Raw genomic sequence first — 25,403 nt, forward strand, 5'->3', positions numbered from 1 at the left:
AGTAGTTCAGTTTTCTATTTCCCTAAACTGGTTTTTAAAATTCAAGCCAATATTTAAAACCAGGAGGTCTCCATAAAAATCCAGATTCTCGGGGAAAAAAAAAAAAATTACACTGGATGAACCCACAAATGCCCATGTGAAACTAATCAGGACCAAGTAAAAAGTTTGTACCTTTTGCAGATGCTTCCCTAACTCACTAGAATACTGGAATAGGAATTTTGGTTAGAATCCAGGATTTGTTTTAAAGAGAAGTCACTATCACTGTTTCCGTAATTAAGTTATGGCCACAATGAAGGAAGTAATTCAAAATGTCTTAGGTTTTGCTGCAGAGACCATAGAGGTTAAGAATGTGGGCTCAGAACTAAGTCTTGGCTGGATTCAAAGCCAGGGTTGATAAATTCCTCGTCTTCGACAATCTGTACCTCCCTTTTATCTAATTTGGTGTAGTTGTGAAGATTAAAAATGAAAATAGAGGCCCAGCGCAGTGGCTCACACCTGTAATCCCAGCACTCAGAGGCCGAGGTGGGTGAATCACGAGGTCAGAAGTTCGAGACCAGCCTGGCCAACATGGTGAAACCCCATTTCTACTAAAAATACAAAAAAATAGTTGGGTGTAGTGGTGGGCGCCTACAATCCCAGCTACTTAGGAGGCCGAGACAGGAGAATTGCTTGAACCCAGGAGGCAGAGGTTGCAGTGACCCGAGGTCACACCACTGCACTCCAGCCTGGCAGACAGAGCAAGACTGTCTCAAAAAAGAAAACAGAAAAAAAAAAAAAGAAAATACACCTAAATTGAGGCAAATTTTCTTAAGCTTTTAGTGTAGAGTGCTTAATTGAAACAAGCGAGATGGGGGAAGTATAATGGGCATTGTGTAAGTCGTTAAAGTTGATCCCAGAGCAATTCTGCAATAGTTAATAGATTGGTCTGTGCTGTAGACACTGTGTCTTCAAAAGTGATGCCAGAATGATAGTGCTAAAATGCAAGTCATCATTTTACTCACTGTAAGACACCTCACCATGACAATGGTCACTTCCCTATAGTTTCAGCCTCATCCCAGCCATATCACACAGTTTTATGTACCACCTCCAAGTCTTAATTTAGCTCAGGTGCCACCTTTTCTATAAAGCCTTCCCTTTTTATTTTATTTTTTTAAGAGATAGGGTCTCGATTTGTCACCCAGGCTGGAGTACAGTGGCACAATCATAGCTGGCTGCCACCCTCCAGGGGATCCTCCTGCCTCAGCATCTGGAGTAGTTGTGGCTACAGGGGCTTGTCACCATCCCTGGCTAGTACTTTTTATTTTTTGAGGAGACTGAGTCTCACTGTATTGCCCAGGCTGGTCTCATACTCCTGGCCGCAATTACTCCTCCTTTGAGAGATTATAGGCATGTGCCACCAAACCCAGTCCCTTCCTGATTTAACACACTCCACATAAATCTCTAACACCCTGTAAACAGCCTTATAATTCAGCAGGTACTGTAATTACTGATTTCCTTATCTACCTTTCATACCAGCTTGTGATCTTTCTGAGCCCAGAGAGCCTTCTTTATTCATGTATCCTGCATCTATAATTTAGCTGGTGATCCATTAACACTCTATTCTATTAATCCTTTCAATAATCTGAAGCCAAGAATAAAAATTACCTAAAAACAAATTCTAGGCCTCTTACGCACTAAATGTATGTTTCAATGCTTTATGAATAAAAATGAATTTTTCCTGGATAGTTGGAAATTGGTTCTCCCACCAAACATAAATGTATTGAAATAATCCAGTTGAAAAAAAATGAGTTTAAATTTGCACCAAAATGTAACTCAACTATGTCACCACTGTTTAGTCTATCTGATATCTCTTTTTCTTTGCAGACAAACCCTTAATGAAGGAAAGTGTGTTGATATACATTCCAGGAAAGCTCTTCATCTTATATCAAGCCAGCATTTTAAGAAGCACTGGCTTAAAGAACTGGGGAATTTTTTATTTTTTTTAATCTTGTGTAACAAAAGATGGAGCTCAGGAATTTTAGGGCCCTCCAAGTTCCTCAGCCTGTTTTTTCTAAACCATTTCTTTCATTCTCATAAGATGGCTGCTACAGTTCCAGTTATCCCATACAGACTTGACAATACCCAGCAAGAAAAATTACTGTCTTTGTTATTTTTCAAAGTGAAGAAAGCTTTCCTTCAGACTATCCCTCATTAGTCACTGTCCAGAAAAGTGATAAATTCACTTCTGAATATAACACGGGCAAGGGAATAGCATGACAATGATTAAATTTGATCAATTAGCATTTTCTCACAAGTCTTACGTGGGCAGAGGAGATACTGAAACAAGTCAGGATTCTACCAGAAAGGGAAGAGAAAGTGGCTATTGGGTATGCAAAAGACACTGCCTGCTGCAATTATTCTATATACTATACTAAAAAGATGGACTGGAATGCCATAAAATGTAATAAGCCTTCATTTTAGTGTTTCCAATAAATAAAGATCACAGCATAGGTCTTTAGAGTAAGCTATATAGAATAGAGCAGAAATACCGTTTATGCTTTTTCTTTCTGTCTCCTTTCAATAGAAAATAATAATATGAGCTTTTATATGATTTATACTCTGCCTACATCAAAACCTTTTTAAAAACTTCATCTATTATCAAATGGTGTTTTGTTATCATAGCTATTGTAACGTTATAACCCAGAGGGAAGATAGCCACTTTCCATATATCTTAATACAGTGATGATTTTTTACTGAGTATATAATTCAAAAAATGTATAGTTGATTTGTGTGGTACCCACATTTCCTTCCTTAACCTGGTATAGTAATCATTAAGGCTTTTCATAAATATGACAGCTCTATTTCTGTACACATAGGATCAAAATCTAACCCCTTTGCTTTGACAATAAAAAACTGAGAAGTTACATGCATTACCTCTACATGAAAGCTCTAAAAGGCAGTATACCCTTCACCAACTTCCCTTCTTCCTGCTACAGGGATATAGCCTCCATCAGCCTAGGTTCCTGAAAGACTCTGTAAGTGTAGCCCCATGTCAGATGTATAGAGTGAGCAAGAAATTTTCATTGTTATAAGCATTTGGGGTTTGGGGATCATTAGTTACTGCAGTAAAAGTTGTCCTACCTTCAGAATACTTAAGCACTTCATATGTCCTTCAAAAGTATCACTTATCTACTTCTCTGATTCTTCAGTCAAAGAATTGTGTCAACTAGATGATCTTTTAAGGACTCTTCCCAATTAAAGTGAATTGTATCTACAATTACAAATGTGGGTACCACACAAAAGCCTGACTCAGAGGTGGTAAGATCTCTTTTCAGCACTTTTCATGTGTGGACAGGGGCCAGAATGATGGAGATAAGTCATCTTGGGCTTTCAAAGTGGTTTTCAGATGCAGCTCTGAGCAACTACCTACTAGCCATTTCCACCTTATCTCTCATTTTCATGGACTCTATTTACCCATTGTATACTTTTGTAAAAATTGGAAAGTGAGTCTCTTCTTCCAGAGGGACACAGCATCATGCCAGAGCCCTCGTGCTTTCCTGTTCAGTACCTCTGTATCACTGTAAAACAGTACAGCTTTGTGTTACATTCCTGTACAGTCATCTCAACTTTGAATTTTGCAGATTATTCCTACTAAAATTCACTCCTCCCCCCAAATTTTCCCAGCTCTAACAAAAGGTGGATAGCATAATTATTATGGGTTGAATAGGGGTCTGTATTTTTTAGAATAAGCTTTGTGTGTTTTCTTTGCTGGATTCCAAAACATAGCACTATGCTTAGTAAATATTAAGCTTTCAACAAATATATTTAGATAGATGAAGGCATGGAAGAATACTAATCAGATTTAATGGCATCTTCGAGTTTAAAAGCATTAGAAACCAGTCTAGGAAGTTCTCTACTTGATGCATCCCTCTCTAAGGAGGACCAGGAGGTGATTGTTAAGTACCCATATATTGATAAATTTATCAGGGTTATCTTAACCCTAATTAGCTTAGTATTATCAAAAAAATTTCCCATTCATTATGTTGTGAGAGGGATTTTATACCATCTATGAAACTGCCTAGTGTGAAATCTTTATTCACGCTCCAGCCTTCATACTAGCTACCAAAACAATTGTTTAAAAGTGATTGTTTATTTTCCCCAGACAGAATATATACTAAGTTGAACCATATGAAATTACTGAATTTTACTGTTTTTTTAACCCATCAGATGGTAATTTCTGATGGTTCAGTGGTCATAGTTTCCCTTTTCAGTTACTGGACCACCCGTAGAGTTCCTTTCACCCATATATATATATATACACCTGTTTTGGGAAATTGTGGATTTTACCAACACCAAAAATTGACTAATTGGGTTGTATACACTCAGTATAGCAGAACTAATTCTGCTTAATCTTGGTACCATTATTTCATTACCAATTATACAACAGATGGTCTGAAATTCCCAAATGTTGCCTTTTACTAAGAGTCTGCGCTTTGGGGAAATAGTTCTGAATTACACAGCTCTGAAATCCATTACTTTTGGATGCAGAGTACAATGAACTTACAGCAAGACTATGGCTTGCAATGTTTTTCATTGTGGGATTTAATGTAAATTATCTGGATTTTAGAAAAGGAATTCTAAGTATTTCCATGTTTTCATAGGAAAAAAATGGACTTATTTTAAATCTAAATCTCCCTTCACATCCTCCAAAAAAAATCATGCTGATTGTCAGGAAAAGAAAATTCACTCATAACCTATACCTTTAATGTAGCTAGGAAATAGATTTTAAATTACCTACCAATAGGAAAATAAACACTTGAGACAAGCAAAATTGTATCTAGAGCCTACACCCAATGGGAGACAAGCAGAGATGAGGGCAAGATGGGAATATAGATGAGGGATGTAGGGTAGGGAGAATGGGGATGGTAAAATACAGATAAAATTGCTCAAACCAAGTGCCACTCAGAGCAAGAAAATACTGAGAGTTAGTTTGAGCTCTTGTAGGTGACTGATGGGGAATTGAAAGACAGGAACTTGAAAATCAATGGAGCCCAAGGCAAGAGTTTCAGAATGGCACCACTTCCAAGTAAATAGAAGTGTCAAGAAGATTGCGCCCTTGGTGCCTTAGAGGTAAAAGAAGAAAAAGGAAGCAAAAGGGGGAAATGAATATTCCTGTTAAAACAAAAAGAGGGTCACAAAATCAGAAGACACCAAGTTTTTCCCAACCAAACAAGTACATTGGTTAAAGAAACTATAATATTTCACCATATCAAGTGAAATACCCTTGAACAAAAAAACCTAGTTATCTTCCTCAAATTCTCAAAGGTTAATAATAATTATATTAGCACATAAAAAATCAAAGCAAAAATATGACAGATGACAGTCACATAAAGTTATTATAAGAATAAAGTAGAAATTTAGAAGCCTAACATTTTATTTCAGCTGATGAAAATTCTGCCCCTAATAAATACCATTCATGCAGCAGAAAAAATCCCTAACACAACCTAATCTGAATTAACCTCAAACAACCATTTGCAAATATTAGGGGAGAAAAAACACCATAAATTAGAAATTCAAAAATTTAGAACAGGAACAGAATGGGGAAGCGATGGGAAACAAGAGTCAACCAAACGGGGAGAAAAAATACATGAAAAACACAGTAATCTTTTAAATTGTAAGATGCCTAAGGATAGATTTGCCTAAAAGTTTAATAAAGGAACTGGAAGAAAGGTATATAACAGCTAAGAAATAAATACAAATCAAAGACAGAGAAAGGTAAAATGTGCATACAACGAAATGCACAAAATCATAATTGTTCAATGAGTTTAGACAAATGTATCTGTATAATGCAAATGCCTATTAAAATACAGAACGTTACCTTAATCTTTAAAGTTCTCTCATGTCCTTTGCCAGTCAATCCCTGTCCCCAACTTCCAGAAGCAATAAATGTTACGATTTTCACCATAGGTTATTGTAGTCTTTTCTAGAAATTCATATTATATATATTTATTATATAAAAGTTTCAGAATATAGAGATGATGCTTTGTGTATATGCTACTAAATGATGTTATTTTAGAATATGTGAATATTCATATCAGTTCAAGCACTGTCAAAGCATTTCCCAGAGAAAACCTGACCTAAGAAATTAGAGATGACATAGTATAATTAAAAAATTGTGGAATATGGAATAAAAAGATGTATGGAGTAAAAGAATAAGCATTATCAGGTGAGGTGAAAATTTTTTGTCTCAGAGGATCTTAAGTAGTGTTAAAGAAAAGACAAAAGAAAAAAATTGACAAATAAAGATTAAAAGAATGATGAAGTATCCTTGAAGGCAACTGTGACATATTTACATTTTGTGTCTGTTACCTAACACAGTTTCTGGGAAACAGTAAATACTTGCTAAGTGTCTGTGGAAGCGAATTCAATGGACGAGCATGCCAACCAAAGGGGAGATTATGAACACAGTTCAAGATAAGAAAATAGCTAAGATTTGTGAAGTATGAAGAAGTCCTTGGCTTATTGAGTACCCTCGAGGAGACTTGGTAGACATGTGTGTGGCAAAGAAGAAAGGTCCTGGGTGGGAGTGGGATGGGTGAGTTGTTTATGTGACAACTTAAGGTCTAGAAGTGATGGTGGGATACAGCCCTTTACAATTTTTAGCATATGAATGACAAGAGCAATATTATATTTGCAACTACCTGCCTGATGACCTGGGAAGAAGAGAAGCTGTGGAGAAGAATAACCAGAAACAAGTAATCTGAGAATGGGAATATGAAGGTTCAATCAGGTTTAGAACATTATTCAGTTTAAGAGATATTTGAAAATAAAATGCAGAAAAATCATGTGTCCTGTTGTCCCTAATTGTCCTGTTTCAGCAATGGGCTTCTTACACTTGTGCACTTCATTAGATTCTTTAGGAATTCTATTATATTGTGTACATGTGCAAAATACAACACTGGATTTTTATATAGTGACTCAGTAAAAGAAATGAGAGTAGAAAATTCTTCACGGGGCCAGCCAATGTGAAAAGTGCTTTCACTACTCTATTTCCATAGTTAATTTAGTTCTGGTCTTAAAATCTAAATGCCTCTGTATTCTAAGACCTGTGGTAGTCTTGTGATGTCTTGAATACTTCGCACTTTCTCTGACATTATAAAATAACTTTATAGTGCAGTTAATCAAATGACAGTAAAAAAAGTACTCTACAGAGAGCTCATTTTAATATTTAATAAGATGAATGCTGATCTCTAAAGTTGAAGGCAGCCCCATTTACATAGGTACATAGGATGTCAGTACTCCATCAATGCAGTAACTGTCAGTCCAGAAACTCTATGTGCTCTTCCCAAGGAGTTGTTTGACAAAGACATATATTCATTTCACTCAATATCTATTTAACTCCTATGTTTAAGGTACTGTAGTGGCCTTTGAGAGAAACACTAAGAGAAGTACGTATTCCCCATCTTTCAGGAGTGCAGAAACTCAGGAAAATATAGATGCTTATGCACATAAATTGAGTACAAATTAAGATGCCGTAAGTACTGGAAAAGAGGCTGAAAAAGGGTAATGGGAGGAATGGGGTCAGCGGCTGGAAGCCTAGTGTATCTGAAACAATATTTTGGAATTCATGTCTTAAGGCATGTGAAGAATCTGAGCTCATAGATACGGAAAAGGGTTGGTTATACAAAGTATATATACATATATATATATATAGAGAGAGAGAGAGAGAGAGAGAAAGAGAGAGAGAGAGAGAGAGAGAGAGTTTTGCTCTGTTGCCCAGGCTGGAGTGCAGTGGCATGATCTTAGCATGCATCACCGTGCCCAGTTGAGGTTGCAGTGGAAATGAAGGCTTTATTGAGAAGTTAATATTTAAGCAAAAACTTGAGAAATCTGAGAAAAGAGTGTTTCTAAGGCAGAGTTTTGTCTATCAGGCTTAAAGAATAGTAAAACAGTCAGAGTAGCTAGAGTATACCAATGAGATACAGCCTAGTAAGAGATAAGTCACTGGGGGCTGGATAAAGTTGAGCCTTGTAAGCCTTTGTAAGGACCTTGTCTTTTACTCTGAATGAGAAGGGGAATTAGTGGAGACTTTAGAGGAAAGGAAGGACAGATCTTAAAACTTGCAATCTAACTTAAATTTTAAAAGGTTCATTGTGGCTGCTACATTGAGAACCCAAGACAGTAGGAAGCAAGATTGAAATCAGAAGACAAAGGAGAAGCATATTCAGTATTCAGACAAAGGATAATGGGCTCTTGAACCAACATGGATTTATTTTGTATTAGCCTGGGTTCTCTAGAGAAACACACCCGATAGGAGATAGACATCTACATCTATCTATCATCTATCTATCTATCTGTCTATCTATCTATCTATCTATCTATCTATCTATCTATCTATCTGGAGAGGAATGGGGAGACTGACCATAAGGCATCGGCTCATGTGATTATGGAAGTTGAGAATTTCAAGATCTGAAGTTGGCAAGCTGATGGTATAATTCCAGTCTAAGTCTGAAGGCCTGAGAACCAGGAAAGCTGATGGTGAAGTTTCAGTTCAAGTCCAAATCTAAAAGCAGAAGAGTGACATCTTAGCTCAAAAACAGGCAGAAAGAAAGAATTCTATCGTAGCCTATTATTCTATTCAGGCCTACAGCAGGCTGGATGAGTTCCACTCATGTTGGGGAGAAAATATGCTTTACTTAGTCTACTGATTCAAATGTTAATCTCTTCCAGAAACACCCTCACAGACATACCCAGGAATCATGTTTAACCAAATATCTGGGCACTACATGGACTAGTCAAGTTGATGCATAAATTTAGCCATTAGATATTTTGAAGGTAGAGCTAATAGGATTTCCTGACAAGAATTTCCTGGCACATTGGTTGTTAAAGGAGTAGGAGAATGAGAGAAGTCAAGGATCCTTCTCTCTATTTTTACATAACAACAAACTGTATCTAAGAGAGTGTCCAGATATGCTCAAGGACATGGTACCTATTAAATGACACAAGGGGATTTGAACTCAGGCCTGGTTCATGCCACATAAGCTCTTAATCTCCCCAATAGGTTCTCTCACACTGGGTGGGAAAGAAGGCAGAGGTTGCTGTAGAATCAATAATTCCCCTAAATGATGTTTACAACATTATTTTGTAAACAGTTTCTCTTATTTGCGTGTCTTCACCTTCCAAATATCCCTTATTTCTCTATGTGTCTGCCTTCTAAATTATTTAAATTTTCCCTCTATTCAGTTTTCAAGTTATCATTTAGCACCTGGATCCTTATCAAGGCTAAGATAAATGCTCTTGTTTGGAGCCAAACCTATGCCAGAAATATAATTATGAGAAAAAAAAATGAACCATTAAAAGAGGCTCTGTCAAAAGACTTACACAGCAAAAAGCTTCTTTTTTTTTTTAATTTTTGATGTGGAAATTAGTATATGCTTACCATCCATAAGCATATTGTTTGTATGTGAATTAAATTCACAATGCCTACAAATACTTTATACTATTATTAAGAGGTGGGAAATGATAACTAGTTATGCTTCAGATATTTCTTCCCAGATGTCAAACTAAATTACAGGTGAGAAAAAACCAAACACCATGTGAAATACCACAACGATATGCACAAAGTACAGTCACCATTTACCCCAACTTTTTGAGGATAGGAATTTTATGGGAGATAAGAATTATTTTTATTATTTTCATCAGGAAGATAAAATGTTCCTCTCCCTGCTATGTTAAGATTTTGAAGACAGACCCCTGTGGCTTGGTGTTGATGAGCTAAATTGAAGAAAAAAAAAAAGACTGAAGCCATGGATAAAGTTCATGTTATTTTATATTGTGTTCTGTTAGGCTTTCTGTCCACAGAAGGAGAAATGTTTAGAACATGATGCCCTGGTTCCTCAAGAGACTCTCAGATTCCCCTTGAAAACTGGATTAGAATTTACATTCAGAAAGATTTTGGCCAGGCGTGGTGGCTCACGCCTGTAATCCTAGAACTTTGGGAGGCCAAGGTGGGCGGATCACGAGGTCAGGAGATCGAGACCATCCTGGCTAACATGGTGAAACCCCGTCTCTACCAAAAATACAAAAAGTTAGCCGGGTGTGGTTGCAGGCACCTGTAGTCCCAGCTACTTGGGAGGCTGAGGCAGGAGAATGGCCTGAACCCGGGAGGTGGAGCTTGCAGTCAGCCCAGATCGTGCCACTGCCCTCCAGCCTGGGCAACAGAGCCAGACTCCGTCTCAAAAACAAAACAAAACAAGAAAACAAAAAGAAAGATTTTATAGCTGATATTTAGATCTTCATTTAATTTCTCTTAATTAAGTAATAACATAACCTCAGTTTAAGAGCTTTACTTTACCCTTTAAAGGGAAAAATTTGAAGTTGCTTTGGGTCTTTTAAATTCGAAGTCTAATTTACAGTCAGTTTGAATGACAACTGCTGGAAATCATCACTAGAGAAAAGTACGATGAAGGTGACAGCAGAAGCCAAGCCCAGAGAGGTGTTTGTCCCCCTAAGGCACATTCTGGGCCAGGTCCATGTAGTTAAATTACTTTATTATACCAAGATTGAGTCAGACTTGAAGGAGTTGGAGTCCCCAGCTTCTTATAGAAACTATGACTTGTACAGAATTTATTCTGAGGAAGCCCTTTTTTCTCAATACTTACTATTGCTTTGAGCCTCCCTCACATTTGAACGTATGAGACCCTTGTTAGATGCATTCATATTGACATATAGACACTTAGACACCAGGTAACAAGGCCTCTGCTATGTTTTGAATTTCCCCTCCAAAACTCATGTTGAAATTTAATTGCTATTGTGATGGCATTAAGAGGTGCCACATTGGGGATCAAATTTCAACATGAAGTTTGGAGGGGGAAAACATCTAAACCATAACACATTTCAAAACAGGATGAAACTCCAGAATCTGAAGACCTCTCTAGGTAGGTAGGTTTTAAAAGTTGAGATATGTATGGGCTATCTGGCTCCCGGAGAGATTTTATTTACCTATCAAAGGGTTGAAGTCAAGAGATCCTTTTAGAAGGGAAAGGTGACAGCTGCCTCCTTCCTCTTTATAAGCAGGGAAAAATAATTTTTCCTTGGCCATTTATGTAGGTCAATTGACCTGGCTTTTACTATGCTGCCATAAGGGTTAGGACTTGGGCAAAGGGGGCCCAATGCACTTCTTTACTGTGAGGAATTAGTACTAGGAAACCTGTCTCTGACCCAGAACACCTTGTATGTGTATTCAGGATGAAATGAAGAAAGAGAAGCATTTAATATGTAACAATAATGAAATAAAGTAATCCCAAAGTCAAGGTGGTTTAACAAAACCAAGGTTTATTCTACATGATAATTAGTCATCAAGCTGGGTGGGGTAGTAGAGGTCTGCTTCTTGTTTAAGGACTCAGGATGACAGAGGTTTAGTCCTCTCGTGATACCATCACAATAATAGAAATTCTTAGGCTCACTGTGTCAGGGGAAAAGAGTACAAGGGAAGTAGTGGAGAAGAAACCTGCTTGTAGGCTTCTACTAGAAGAGTGTGCCACTTCTGCCCAAACATCAGCCAGGACTAGTCACACTGCCGTGCTTAACAACAACAAGATTTGAAAATGCTGGGGAGCATGTGGAAATGTAATATATGGTAATTATCATCGGTATACTTTTGCTTCTGTTCACATCATTCCAATAGCTGCAACTTTCTGGTTTTTCTACTACCAACACCTTAAAACACAACAAAATTTTCTCTCCCTGTCAAGCCATGCTTACACATTTGGAATATAGACAATTGCCATGGGTTATTATTGAAGGATTGCCATTGAATTAAAAGAAAAAGTTGTTGATCATGAAATCCAGGGATGATGTATTAATCCATTCGGGATGCTATAACAAAATACCTTAGACTAGATGATTTATAAACAATGGACATTTATTGCTTACAGCTCTGGAGTCTGGGAAGTCCAGGATCAAGGTACCAGAAGATTTAGTGTCTTTTGAGGGTTTGTTCCTCATAGATGGCCTGTCTTATGTGTTCTTACATGGCAGAAGGGGCAAACAGGCTCCCTCAGGCCTCTTGTATAAGGTCAGGAATCTCATTCATGCGGGCAGAGTCCTCATGACCTAATCATCTCCCAAACACCTCACCTCTTAATACCAATATCATGAGGTTTATGTTTCAACATATGAATTTGGGGAAAACACAAACATTCAGACCATAGCAAATGGTTTAAAAGTTTTGTTCCTGGCTGGTCACGGTGGCTCACGCCTGTAATCCCAGCACCTTGGGAGGCCGAAGTGAGCAGATCATGAGGTCAGGAGATTGAGACCATCCTGGCTAACATGGTGTAACCCCGTATCCATTAAAAATACAAAAAATTAGCCGGGCGTGGTGGCGGGTGTCTGTAGTCCCATCTACTCTGGAGGCTGAGGCAGGAGAATGCCGTGAACCCAGGAGGCGGAGCTTGCAGTGAGCTGAGACCGCGCCATTGCACTCCAGCCTGGGTGACAGAGCGAGATTCCGTCTCAAAAAAGAAGAAAAAAAAATGTTTTGTTTCTATCATACTTCTCTATCATGTGCTGCTTGTTCTCTAGCCAACGTGAATATAATTTTGCCTTCTCTCTGTTACTTCTATGAGGGTTGACTGTAAACTGGCTCCAGTGGCTATTTTTGTGAAAATAGTTCTGACAGAGGAAAAGCACAACAGAATTCTGGTTGCTAGGCCAAATAATCACGGCTAATATGATTTGTAGTTATTTGATTTTTTTTCTCAGTATAATTTAGAAGCTATATCGTAAGATCTATTCTTTCTACAGTGAGAAAGAATTAAAAGTTCAGAAATGTCATTTGAGGCTACTGAGAATACTCAAAGGAAAGCTCAGTGCTCACTCTTATTGGGTATTTGTAATATGCTTATTTGTGCACTTAATTCTCATTATTCACAGTATTTATGTTCTACAAAGTTGTGGCAGACACTGAATTAATAAATACTGAATTATTGCTCATAGGGGAAATACAAGGTTAGGTTTCTGCAAGCCCCATTCACAACATTTTTTTTCCCAATGGATCCATACATAAACATGTTTTTGTGTTTCTGTTTAAAGACATTTTATTTAATGTATATCATTGATTCATTAACATTGAACTCATAGCCATCAGCACTATAACTCATGCCTAAACAAAGCTTATTTAACACATGTACTTCTTCTGTAAGATATATCACAGCCTTCTTGCACTTAGCAACACTAGGCAGTATTTCTGCACTGAGCTTGGGGGCCATTTAAATAACAAAATTACCAACAGAAAGCACAAAAATGCAAAATACGTGTCACTAAATAGATTGCAGAAAGAATATTTGTTTACAGTATCAGATTTGAAACAAGAAGGCAAAGCACCATTTTGTTCCTCAACTGGGAACGTGCACATAATTACATTCAAAGTTTTTGCCACTTTGCTCATGTCCATGAATGACTGCAAAAGTGCAGTAACTGTTGATTTTGGAGTTACAAATAAATTTTTGTGAGTAGGCAAATTCACAATTGCAGAATCTTTGAATAAAGAGAATCAACTGTATTTGCAAGGAGACTGAAAAATGAAATAAACACCACATCACTGGATGCTGGCCATGCTTTGCCCTCTCACTGAAGTTACTTAAGAAAAAAAACTGGACAACTTTGGTGGGAAATTTTGTGGAATGGATTAAAACATGGGAGAAACTTGGGGACTAGATGATTTTTAAAGTCCCTACAAACAATGAGCTTTTATGACTTTATTTTGCACAGATTATACACCAGAATATCAAACCTATTAATAGAAGAGGGCTTTGACCTTAGATTTTTAAAATTAATAATTAGCTAAGGTTTTAAGTTTCTATAAAATCATAATTTTTTATGTAATAAATACCTTTTTCTGGCAGTGTCCCAGACATTGTTTTGATTTTCAAAACACTAAAAAAAGTTATAAGATAATAGGAGACTTATCACACACACACAACTCCTATAGAATATACACTAAAGCACTTATGCTCAAATTTACATAATTAAATTGATATATACTTTCCAGTAAGTTTCCTTGGAGAACTAAGCTAATTATCTTTTTGTGGTACTACCACCATCACGGTCTCAAAACATTTTTCTTTTTTGAACTTCTTTCTTTAAGATATTTCAGAGTCTATTTCTAAATCACACACACACACACACACACACACACACGCAAATTTGATCTCTTTAAGTTATTTCAGAGTCTATTTCTAAATCACACACACACACACACACACACACACACACACACACACACACGCAAATTTGGTCTCCCTACTTTACATTACCTTTATTTGAACTCAACCTGGTACTATGCAGTTTTTTTCTTGTAGAGTCTTCATGAACTCCTAAAATTCAAATCTGCTGCTACTTATGTTGAAGACTTGCCTCATTTACAAACTATTCAAAACACAGTTCTCATTGTGTTCAATGAGGACAGCAATTATGACTTTGTGCCTATAACTTCAACCTCATCCTCTTATACACTGCTTACTATAGAGCAGGTAATAAGTATCTGTTAAACAGCAACAACAAAAAAATGAAAGGGGCCAGGTGTGGTGGCTCATGCCTGTTATCCTAGCACTTTGAGAGGCTGAGGAGGGTGGATTGCTTGAGGTCAGGAGTTCAAGACCAGCCCTGGCAACATGGCAAAACCCTCAAAAAAATTAACTGGTCATGGTGGTGCGTGCCTGTAGCCCCAGGCACATGGGGGAGCTGAGGCAGGAGGATACCTTGAGCCCAGGAGATCGAGGCTACAGTGAGCTGAGATTGTGCCACTGCACTCTAGCCTGCGTGACAAAGTGAGAGACCCTGTCTCAGAAAAAATAAAATAAAATAAATAAATATAAGAAAAAGAAGAAGCACAGAAACTGAACGTACACATGAGATGGATACAATTAAGTATAAAAAGCTGTCACCTGAGAGTGTATGTTCATCAAAAAGAATGATCTCTTTCCTCTATGGTGGTGGCAATTCCTTATTTGCCATTTTAAAACTATTTCTATTACTGTTATAAATATCATTATATAGAAAAAATTCTAAGTGTAACGCTTAGCCAGACATTTGTTAGTGTGGCAGATTGTATTTATCCACATTTGGACACAGCAATATATATCCCATGTCACATTCTTACAATGTGATATTGATAACGCCTCCATTAAATGGTGCATCTATGTTCCCCCTTGAACCTGAGCAGAAATTTTTAACTCAATCCATCAATAATTGTGGTTAAAAAAAAAAGGTCATAAAAGATAATAAAGGTCTTAGCTTGCTCTCTTTCTCTCTTTGGGGGTCCGGAGTTAGCATGTAAGAAACCGGACTATCCTGAAGATTCCATGCTGGAGAAATCACACAGATCACAGAGATGGAGCAAGAGGCCCAAGCAGCCCCAGATGTTTCAGTCCCAGCTGTTTGAATTTTTGCAGATGATATACCAGTAAGGTGAGTAAAGAAACTTAGGAGCTGACTCAGCCACAGCCACATGACTGCAACCTCATGAGACACCTTGAGCAAAAACTTTATGGCTGAGCTTCTCCTGAATTCTTGACCCACAAAAACTGTGTATTAAATGATTATTGTTTTATTAAATTTTGAATTGATTTTGTACACAGCCATTATGAATGAAAGAACTTGCCTAAGCAAAAGGAATGACTGCCAAAGCTCTAAGATCTGGGCCACCATATGAGATAATGTAGATTTTACTGATTCAAAGAGCTAAACCCTTACCATTATTAATTTTCTAAAAATTTAGTGTTCTGAATTCAGTTTTCAAGTGCTGTCGCTTACATTTTCTCTTACAATTTGATTATGTAAGTTGTCTGTACTCATGCATGTGTGCACACACATGTATGTGTGTAAACCTGAAGGTAAACTGCAAATGAGTATATTTCTAAGAATATAAATTTGGGAGTACAGAAGTGCATAATATCCATAAAAGTTATAAGTTTCATGCAATTAAAATCAGACTTGTCTCTTTAATTTCTCAGGTATTTCAAAGTCCATTTTTGCAGCTTTGCAGTAAAATATACTTTGATGTTAGAATCTGCTTTTTAGTTCTTAAAAATAGATCAAGTTAATAGTTATTTCTATTTTGTATCAAATGGATACATTTTGTGTTCTACCCAAGGTTTCTCAGCCCACATACTCCATCAACATTTTCTTATATATATATTTTAAAACTGTTTCTGATGGGTTATTATCTAAGGGTGGGTTGGTAGAGATTTGATTTAATACATTTTCTTAACTCCAAAAATAATTTTTTCAAACTAAAAGAAGATACTGCCTTTGCTGATTTTAAGTTTATTACAGCAAAAATACCTTTTATATCAATATTTCACAGTCTATTTTTAAACCAATAATTATCAATAATCTAGCTAATTCTGTCATTAATTTCTTTATTACCTTGAAAGAAAGAGAAAATCCATACAGACTAAGCAACAAAAAATTCCATATTTAATGGAAAACATTTTGTTGCCAAGCGGGGAACCCAACTCAGCACTGAGTTTGAGCTATGAATTTTAGAAGATGATATAGGAGGTAGGTCTTTTAAAGCCAAACATATCTCTGTTTCATTCTGAAACGTATTCAAGAGTTGCAGACTAGCTGGCAAAGTGTGGGCTTGTCAATAAGGTAAAGGCTGAGTTGAAGGGAAGGTGGCTGCTTCTTTATAGATGGAGCACCCACCTGAAAACTGTGGTGTTCAGCTACCTCTGCTGCACATGTGAGGTGGCCAGCTCAGGATTATGACACAAGTTAGAGCTGTACCACTGTCAGCAAGTGAGGTAATGGTTTGCCAACCATATTAGATGTTAGTTACTCCGGTGTAATAGAGCAATTTGTGGACAGGAAACATGTTTCTCCTATTGTTTACATGAGGATCACTCTTAATATTGCAACAGCTATTGGTAAAGCCTGTTGTCATTACCCCGTATTTCTATCTACTGGCTGCTCTGTGCTTCCTACAATTTTGAATCCTGTTGGTAAACTAATAATGAGATATACTAGTCATTATATATGTAAAAAGTTAGAAATAGTGAAACCTAGATCTGATACTAAGAGTAGAGCTGCATCAAAGGAGAATTTAGCTCAAAAAAAAAATTCAAAATATTTTTGTAAAGAGGAGGGAGGGAGAATTGCTTTATTTAACTCCTTGTCTTTTATCAAGAAACTGCGTCAGCTCCCTTTCCAAACTAGACTGTGGCCTGACTGCTAGGACCACTCTAATCTTTTTATTCCATTTTGAGGAAAAAAAAATTTAATTCTTAGTTTCTGAGCTTCCAAAGCCTAGTTTCTGGATATTTAAGATAAATGTAATAGATCCTTCAAAGGTATATTTTCATTCTAAGAGCAATTTGTATGTTACCTGCTAGAACCAACATCCTTATTAGCTGCAACTCCTAGTTCCCATTTCTAAGAGTCCTTTTTTGTTGATGTGAATTCTCAGAACTTTTCTATTCTACCTTTCAAAGAAATGTTTCCATATTATTTAATGTTCAGAGGTAATCTGAATTTAATTTTCCTTTAGAAAATGTCAAGAAAATCTTAGATATTTTGTTATGTAGAGAAATACGGAAGGATCTGTAAGAGTAAATACAGAAAAAAATTTTCAAAAAGTAGATTAATTAGAAACTGGGAAAACAAGATTTATCAAAAAGAGAATTTTGAAAATATATCAGAAAAAGTCAAGAGGGGAAGGAAACTCAGATTTGATGGCCAATAATTAGTACCAATAATACTTCCTGCTTCCATTTCCTCAGTTTCCTTCTGCTTAGATCTAGTTATTCTGCAGATCAGGATTAAAATCAGAGATAAGTTAGGAGAATAAAGGAGACACAGAGAAATAGTTTAAGACGCTAAGAAAAGTAAAAAAAAAAAGGACCAGTGGCACACAGAATTATATACCAGATATCACAAAATTACAGTTTATTACTATAAAATAAAAAAATTTGGGAAAAAAATCAGAGTACAATGTGTATAAACTGAGGTTAAGCATCTATTATATGATGTGAATTGCCTGATTATATTCTTTGCCTTGCTTTTTGTTTTGTTTTGCTTTCAGTTTTTGGTTGGAATGTGCATCATTATTCACTTACTGATTTATAATGGCTTTTTGTCTTTTAAGGAAATAAGCCCTTTGTCTTTCGTACTATTTATGTAAAGGAGACTTAAGTGCTTATCTTAGAAAGAAATGGGGAAAATAAAGGTGAAACACTAGCTTCTATTATAAAGATAAAGAACTTATTGTTAACAGAAGATTCCTATGCTTCCAGTTTCCATTATCTTCTGTTTACTTCAGTTAATAATAAACTTTAAACGAAGATTTCCCTGCAATGCTGTTATGTTTGAAATTAAAACAATTAATTAAGTGGATTTAAAATTAAAGAAGACTTTGTTCTTAATTGGAAATCAATTGGCTTTGGATATATGAGAAACCAAATGGTAATGGGACACAATCAAAGTAAATTTAGATGATAAAACTTGTGTCTTCCCTTTCAGTCTGATAAAGAACAACATTAGGTGAAGATATGCCTGGAAAATACTGCACAGTTATAAAAAACTAACAGTAAAACCTCAAATTAAGCTACAACTAAAAGCATGTATTTTCAGAGCCACACTTCATAGCTTCTCTCCCCATCTGCATCACATCATTAAATCAGCACAGAGAACTTTAAAATACTATGGCAAGTAATTTAATAAGAATGACTCAATGTACCTGATCCAATTTTTCCGCTGGATAATAAAAAGGTGAATATGAGAGCATTCAAGATTTTATCCAGTCTCATGGTTTTAAATACCATGTATAAGCTGAGGTCTCTCAAATCTTCATTTTCAATCTTCACATCTCCACTATGATCCAGACACATATACAGCTGAACGGTTGCAAATAACCAACAGCTGAGCCCTTAGATTAAACTATCATTATAGACAAAATCATGTATTTGTCAGATCAATAACTAGACATCCTTAGTCCTCTCTTTTCCCCACCCTTCTCCTCCAATCCATTAGCAAGTCCTGTTTTTGCTCTCTCCTAAACATACTTTCATGTCCAATTGTTTCTCACCATTGTCCCACTGCTGAAGGCCTAGTCTCTACCACCATCCTTAGCCTTCTGCCTTGTCTGCTAATACTCTTGCTTCCTTACAGTCTGTTGCTTACACAGCACCTCATATAGTTGTCTTAAAACTTAAATCAGATCATATCACTCTTCAGCATCAACCCCGTCAGTCTTTTCCCTTTATGATTAGTCATGAAGTCAAACCTAAACTCTTTACCATAGACTCACCTCCCCAATGTCATACCCTATCACTGTGCCAGCCTTCACAGTGGTCTTTTTCCTGCCTTGGGGCTTTTGAATTTCCTGTTCTCTCTGCCTAGCACACTGCGCCCCAACATTTTCATATGACTATCTTCTTATCACTTAAGTTTCACCTTAAATGCCACCTCCTTACTTCTAGTGACTCTTTTGTCCCACCCAAATTTTTACATAGCACTTATCATTAGCTGAGGTTATATTTCTAATTTACATGTTTATTAACTATTTTCCCATAAGAAAAAGAAAGCAGGAAGGGCCCATAATGATCATGTAGTTCAACTTTCTTGTATTATGTAAGAAACTGAGGCCCTCAGAAGCTAAGTGCTTTGCCAACATACATCCACAACTATTTAGGGGAGAAACCAGAAAGGAAAATAAATACTCTTTAAACAATAATAGAACAGAATTCTTCCTGCTCCATTTCCCTATATTAAACTTTATCAATTTTTGTTTAATTCAATTATTCTTCCTTTCTCAAGATATTCAGTGGGTGAGAGAGAGAGCTCAACTCTCTCCCCACAGACATGAAGTTTCATCTATCACAGTTCTATAACAGAAGTATGTCATTTTTAAGCCTTAAGTTATATAAATACTAAGTGGATTGTATTTATATAACTATTCCTAAAGCCATGAAAAATAACTAAGATGATTTATCCAATAACTTTTGTTCAATTGGTGGTACAATTGTAGAGACGTTTTAAAATTTTTCAGAGCTTGCCACTGTCCTTTTTTTCCATGGAATAGGGAATGGTGGGAAGCTCTGAGTTAAAGCTTTCTATTGCTTTCATTACATAGTATATCATTTTAATTTAAAATCACATAGATTGTGGTGATTTGGCACCTCCTTAATTCTATATTTAAGTAGTGTGAAATTTTACTTTTGAGAATTTTAAATGTCTAAAGTGCTTATGTGCCATAGGAAATAGAGCAGAATATACATCTTTCTTTGCTGAAGAAGGATCTGGCAGTGACCTAGGACTGTCATTATGAACAAGAGTACTAATTTGCAATAGGGCAAGAGAAGGCAAAGACGCAGTAGACAGAGAAGTGTTACCCACTAGTTCTTGTAAATGCTTACTACCAGGAAATTATTTACAGGAAACTACCATCTGAAATCATCTTCTTTTGTTGTGACTTTGGTGCTTCTCCTTGGGGTGTTGAAAAATGAATGTGTATATTTGAGGGTTGTGATCAGCTGATTCAAAATAATGAACCCTTTATTCTTTGAGAAATGTTGGAAACAATTATTGTAGTTTATACAAATCATTTAGCAAGGATGCATCAATGCAAGCATGATCCACATTGTATTAGTTTCCATGTGATGTGCATAAAGGACCAGAAAGCTTAGTTTCCATCCTTGATATTTTCATTATCAACATTGCCATGCACACATAGTGCCTACTAACACCCAGATAATGGCAGCACAGTAGCCACACTTAGATGGTTATTTCTGTTAATACACAAGTAATGTAGCTGGTTTTTCAGAATTACCACAAAGCTAGTTAATGCTAATTCAACATATATTTATGTGGCTTTATAGTATGCAAAGGACTGTGTCATATATTGTGAGGGAGGGTGATATAGTTTAGGTATTTATCCCCACCCAAATCTCATGTTGAATTTTAATCCCCAGTGCTGAAAGTGGGGCCTAATGGGAAGTATTTGGATCACGGTGCCAGATTCTTCATGGCTTGGTGCTGTCTTTGTGATAATAAGTACTCATGAGAACTCATCATTAAAAATGTGTGGCACCTTCCCCCATCCCTTGCCCCCACTTTACCATCTGCCATGAGTAAAAGCTTCCTGAGGCCTCCCCAGAAGCAGATGCCAGCTCTATGTTTCCTGTATAGCCTATGGAACCATGAGTCAGTTAAACCACTTTTGTTATAAATTAGCCAGTTTCAGGTATTTCTTTATAGCAATGCAAGAAGGGCCAAATATAGAAAATTGGTACCAGGAAAGGTGTATTGCTATAAAGATACTTGAAAATGTGGAAGTGCCTTTGGAACTGGATAATAGGCAGAGGTTGGAAGAGTTTGGAGGGCTCAGAAGAAGATAGGAAGATGAGGGAATGTTTGGAACTTCTTAGAGAATGGTTAAATTGTTGTGACCAAAAAGCTGATAGTTACATGGACAATGAAGTCCAGACAGCCGAGGTTTCAGATGGAAATGAGGAACTTATTGGGAACTGGAGCAAAGGCCACGTGTGTTACGCCCTAACAAAGAGCTTTTCTGCATTCTGTTCATGCCCTAGGAATCTGTGGAAGTTTGAACTAAAGAGTGATGATTTAGGGTGTCTGGTGGAAGAAACTTCTAAGCAGCAGAATGTTCAAAATGTGGTCTGGCTGCTTCTAACAACCTATACTTAAATGAGGGAGCAAATGAATGATTTAAAATTGGAACTTATATTTAAAAGGGAAACAGAACAAAAAAGTTTGGAAAATTTGCAGCCTGGCCATATAGCAGAGAAGAAAAATCTTTTTTTGTGGGGAGAGAAATTCAAGCAGGCTCTGGAGCAACCACTTGCTAGAGATATTTGCATAACTAAAAAGGAGCCAGGTGCTACTAGCCAAGACAATGGGAAAAAGGCCTCAAAGGCATTTCAGAGACCTTCATGGCAGCCCCTCACATCACAGGCCCAGAAGCCTAGGAGGTCTGACTGGTTTCATGGGCCAGGCATACTGACTTGTGCAGCCTCAGGACACTGCTTTCTGCACACTGGCGGGCGACTCTAGTTCCAGCTCCAGCCGGGCTCAAATGGTCCCAGGTACACCTCAAGCTGCCACTTTGGAGAATGCAAGCTGTAGGCCTTAGTGTCTCCCCTGTGGTGTTAAGCCTGCAGACACAGAGAGTATGAGAGTGGTGGATTCCTGGTAGCCTTTGCCTAGATTTCAGAGGATGTATGGAAAAGCCTGGATGCCTAGGCAAAAGCCTGCTACGGGGTGGAACCCCATAGAGAACCTCTACTTAGGCAGTGCAGAGGGGTAATGTAGGGTTGGGGCCTCCATACAAAGTCCCCACTGGGACACTGCCTGCTGGATCTGTGGGAAGGGGACCACTGTCCTCTAGACCCCATAAAGGTAGATCCACCGGCAGCTTGCACCCTGAGCCTGGAAAAACCATAGGCGCTCAACAACAGTCTGCAAGAGCAGACTTGGGATATGTACACTGCAAAACCACAGGGGTGGAGCTGCCCAAGGCCTTCAGAGCCCACCCCTTGTGCCAGTATGCCCTGGATGTGGGACATGGAGTTAAAGGAGATTATTTTAAAGCTTTAAAATTCAATGAGTGCCCTGCTAGGTTTGGGATATGTGTGGGACCTGTAGTCCTTTTCTTTTGGCTGATTTCTCTCTTTCTGAATGGCAATGTTTACCCAATGCCTATACCCACTATTACATCTTGGAAGTAAATAACTTGTTTTGATTTTACAGGCTTATAGGTGGGAAGAGATGAGTCCCAGATGAGACTTTAGACTTGGATTCGGGACTTTTGAGTAACTGCTGGAATGAGTTAAGATTTTGGGGGACAGTTGGGAAGGCCTGATTGTATTTTGCAATGTGAGAAGGACAGAGACTTGGGAGTGGCCAGGGGTAAAATAACACAGTTTAGATATTTGTCTTTACCCAAATCTCATGTTGAATTTTAATCCCCAGTGCTGGAGGTGGGGCCTCATGGGAGCTGTTTGAATCACAGGGGCAGATCCCTCTTGGCTTCATTCTGTTTTCATTATAATGAGTTCTTCTAAGATCTGTTCATTTAAAAGTGTATGGCACCTCCCTCCCCACTGTTGCTGCTGCTTTTGCCACATGAAGTGCTTGATCTCACAACACCTTCTGCCAGGAGTAAAAGCTTCCTGAGGCCTCTCCAGAAGCAGATTGCCAGCACTATGTTTCCTGTACAACCTACAGAACCATGAGCCAGTTACAATTCTTCCATTATAAATTAGCCAGTTTCAGGTATTTCTTTACAGCAATGCGAGAACAGCCTAATACAGAAAGATAAAAGAATAGTAACAGATTTTTAAAACCTGGCTTCTTTCTAAAGATAGAAAAATTCCCTAAAGGGAAATATAATAATATACAATTAGTCACAATTTAAGTTCACATGTGATAATTTTTCTATGAGAAGTATCAACAAAATGAAGAGGGAATTTAGAAAGGAGACCACAACATGAGGAAAGGATAAGTAGAAAGGTCTCCTTGAAAGTGTATGGCATTTGTGCAATGTCTTGAGGGATGAGGGTATTTGTATGGACATGGAAGTGAAAAGGGCTGTGGGAAGGGAACATTCCAGATGGAGAGAAGCATAATTAAAGAAATATAGGCAGAAAATCCTAGAGTTTATTTGGGAAGTGGGAAATAACTCACTTTGGCTGGCAATTAGGGCATATACTATGGGTGATTCAGACAAAGGTCATAGAGCCAAGCAAAATAGTTTGGACTTAATCCTCTAAGTAATAGGGGACTACTGGACTTTTTGAGCCGGAAGGTTATATACTTTGAGTTGTGCATTGTGAAAATTAATCTGGCAGCAGTAGACAAAATTGACTGGAGTAGAGAAAGACTAAAGACCAATTAAGAGGCTATTTTGATAGTTAAGCTGAGAGGTAATGAGAGAAGGGACCATGGGAATGGAACAGAAAAGACCAATTCAAGAGATAAGGGAAGTCAAACCAGTGGGATTTAGTGATTAATTGTAGGTGGAATGGCAAAATGGAGAGAAGATAAGGGTGATAAGAAGGTTTTAACCTTGAGAGACTGAGAAATTGATACTGGCAGAAATAATAAATTCCATGGGATCTAGTGGAACTCTTTTGGAATTCTATTTGAAACTTGACTTCAGTCATGCTTGAGATATTGTGCATCTGGAAATGCAGACCCAGAGCACAGGAAAATGGTCAGAACTGGTGATAAAGTTTGTAGGCTTGTGCACGTGTGTGCATGCATGAGTGTGTGTGATATAAATTTAAGTAAATCTTTGTTGCCATTGTAAGAGTCAGTTAACTCTCTAAAGGAGAAACAATGAACATCCCTTATCCACAGGAGATGATACAAAGAAAGGAGGGAGTTGTCAGAGAAGTTGGAGGATCATCAGTAGACTAGCATCTCTAAATTAAGCACATTCTTCTTTTTTTTTAATGAAAAGAGGCACTGACAGCACAAGATTTTTTTTGAGATTGTGCCTTAGACTTTCTTTAATTTCAAAAGGGACTTTTGAATATACTTATTATCCTTATCCTAATAACAGCATAATTAAGTGAAATGATAAGAAATCTTAAAACATCAGAGGTAAATATTCTTTTTCTATGGAGAAAACTTGGTTACATATTTTACCAGCAACTTCAGTATACCAGTGAATTTTGCATTCATTATTCAACAGGTATTTGCAAACATGGAAGACACTTAATATGAAATTTTTCCTGACTGGAGAAATAGGAGTGGAGGCTATCAGTGGGGGAAATAAAAACTATGCCACCAATTCTTTGATCCAGAGGTGTCTGTTTAACTGGCAAGGGATGTAAGTAAATAATTCAAAGACTTTAGACTACATATAGTGGCACACATACATTCCTAATGTAAGTTCTTAACTCACAGTGGTAAACTATTACCACAAGTGACCAGAGTGTATTTTCCTCTTCATCTCCTTCTTTCTTGATGTAATCACTGTTAACTAATCACTTCTTGAAATTATCTAACTCGTTAATTTAGTATTGATTCAGTAAATATTTGCCTAGAGTTTATGATGTGCCAAGCATCTTTTCAAGTCTTGTGAATTTAGCAGTGAACAAAGTAGACAAAAATTCCTGCATTCATGTAATTTTTATTCTAGTGGAAGTTTACACCAATGAATGTTAATAAAAAAGGTAACAGACAAATTTTTATCTATGTCTAATATTACATCACATACTTGTTTTCCCGTACAATTTGCTAATGTTTCACATTTATATATTTGTGTCCTAGATAGTGGTTGTTCTTTTTAACAGTCTAGTCATGTGCTCCAGGGAACTGAATCAAGTGGTTGTTGTTGCTGTTTTGTAGTAAAGAACAACTGAAAGTCTCCTTGTCTCTTTCTTATTTCCTTC

General features: G+C 37.2%; 1 annotated feature.

Annotated features, from left to right (window-relative positions):
* Positions 21,595–22,241: an enhancer, noted in NCBI's record as "OCT4-NANOG-H3K27ac-H3K4me1 hESC enhancer chr5:85940434-85941080 (GRCh37/hg19 assembly coordinates)". NCBI's record gives its function as "activates a minimal SCP1, AML or CMV promoter by ChIP-STARR-seq in naive H9 embryonic stem cells {active_cell/tissue: H9 hESC(naive)}" and the evidence as "EXISTENCE:reporter gene assay evidence [ECO:0000049][PMID:30033119]".

The sequence above is a fragment of the Homo sapiens genome, chromosome 5 (assembly GCF_000001405.40).
Source record: "Homo sapiens chromosome 5, GRCh38.p14 Primary Assembly".
In the NCBI taxonomy this organism is placed as follows: Eukaryota; Metazoa; Chordata; class Mammalia; order Primates; family Hominidae; genus Homo; species Homo sapiens.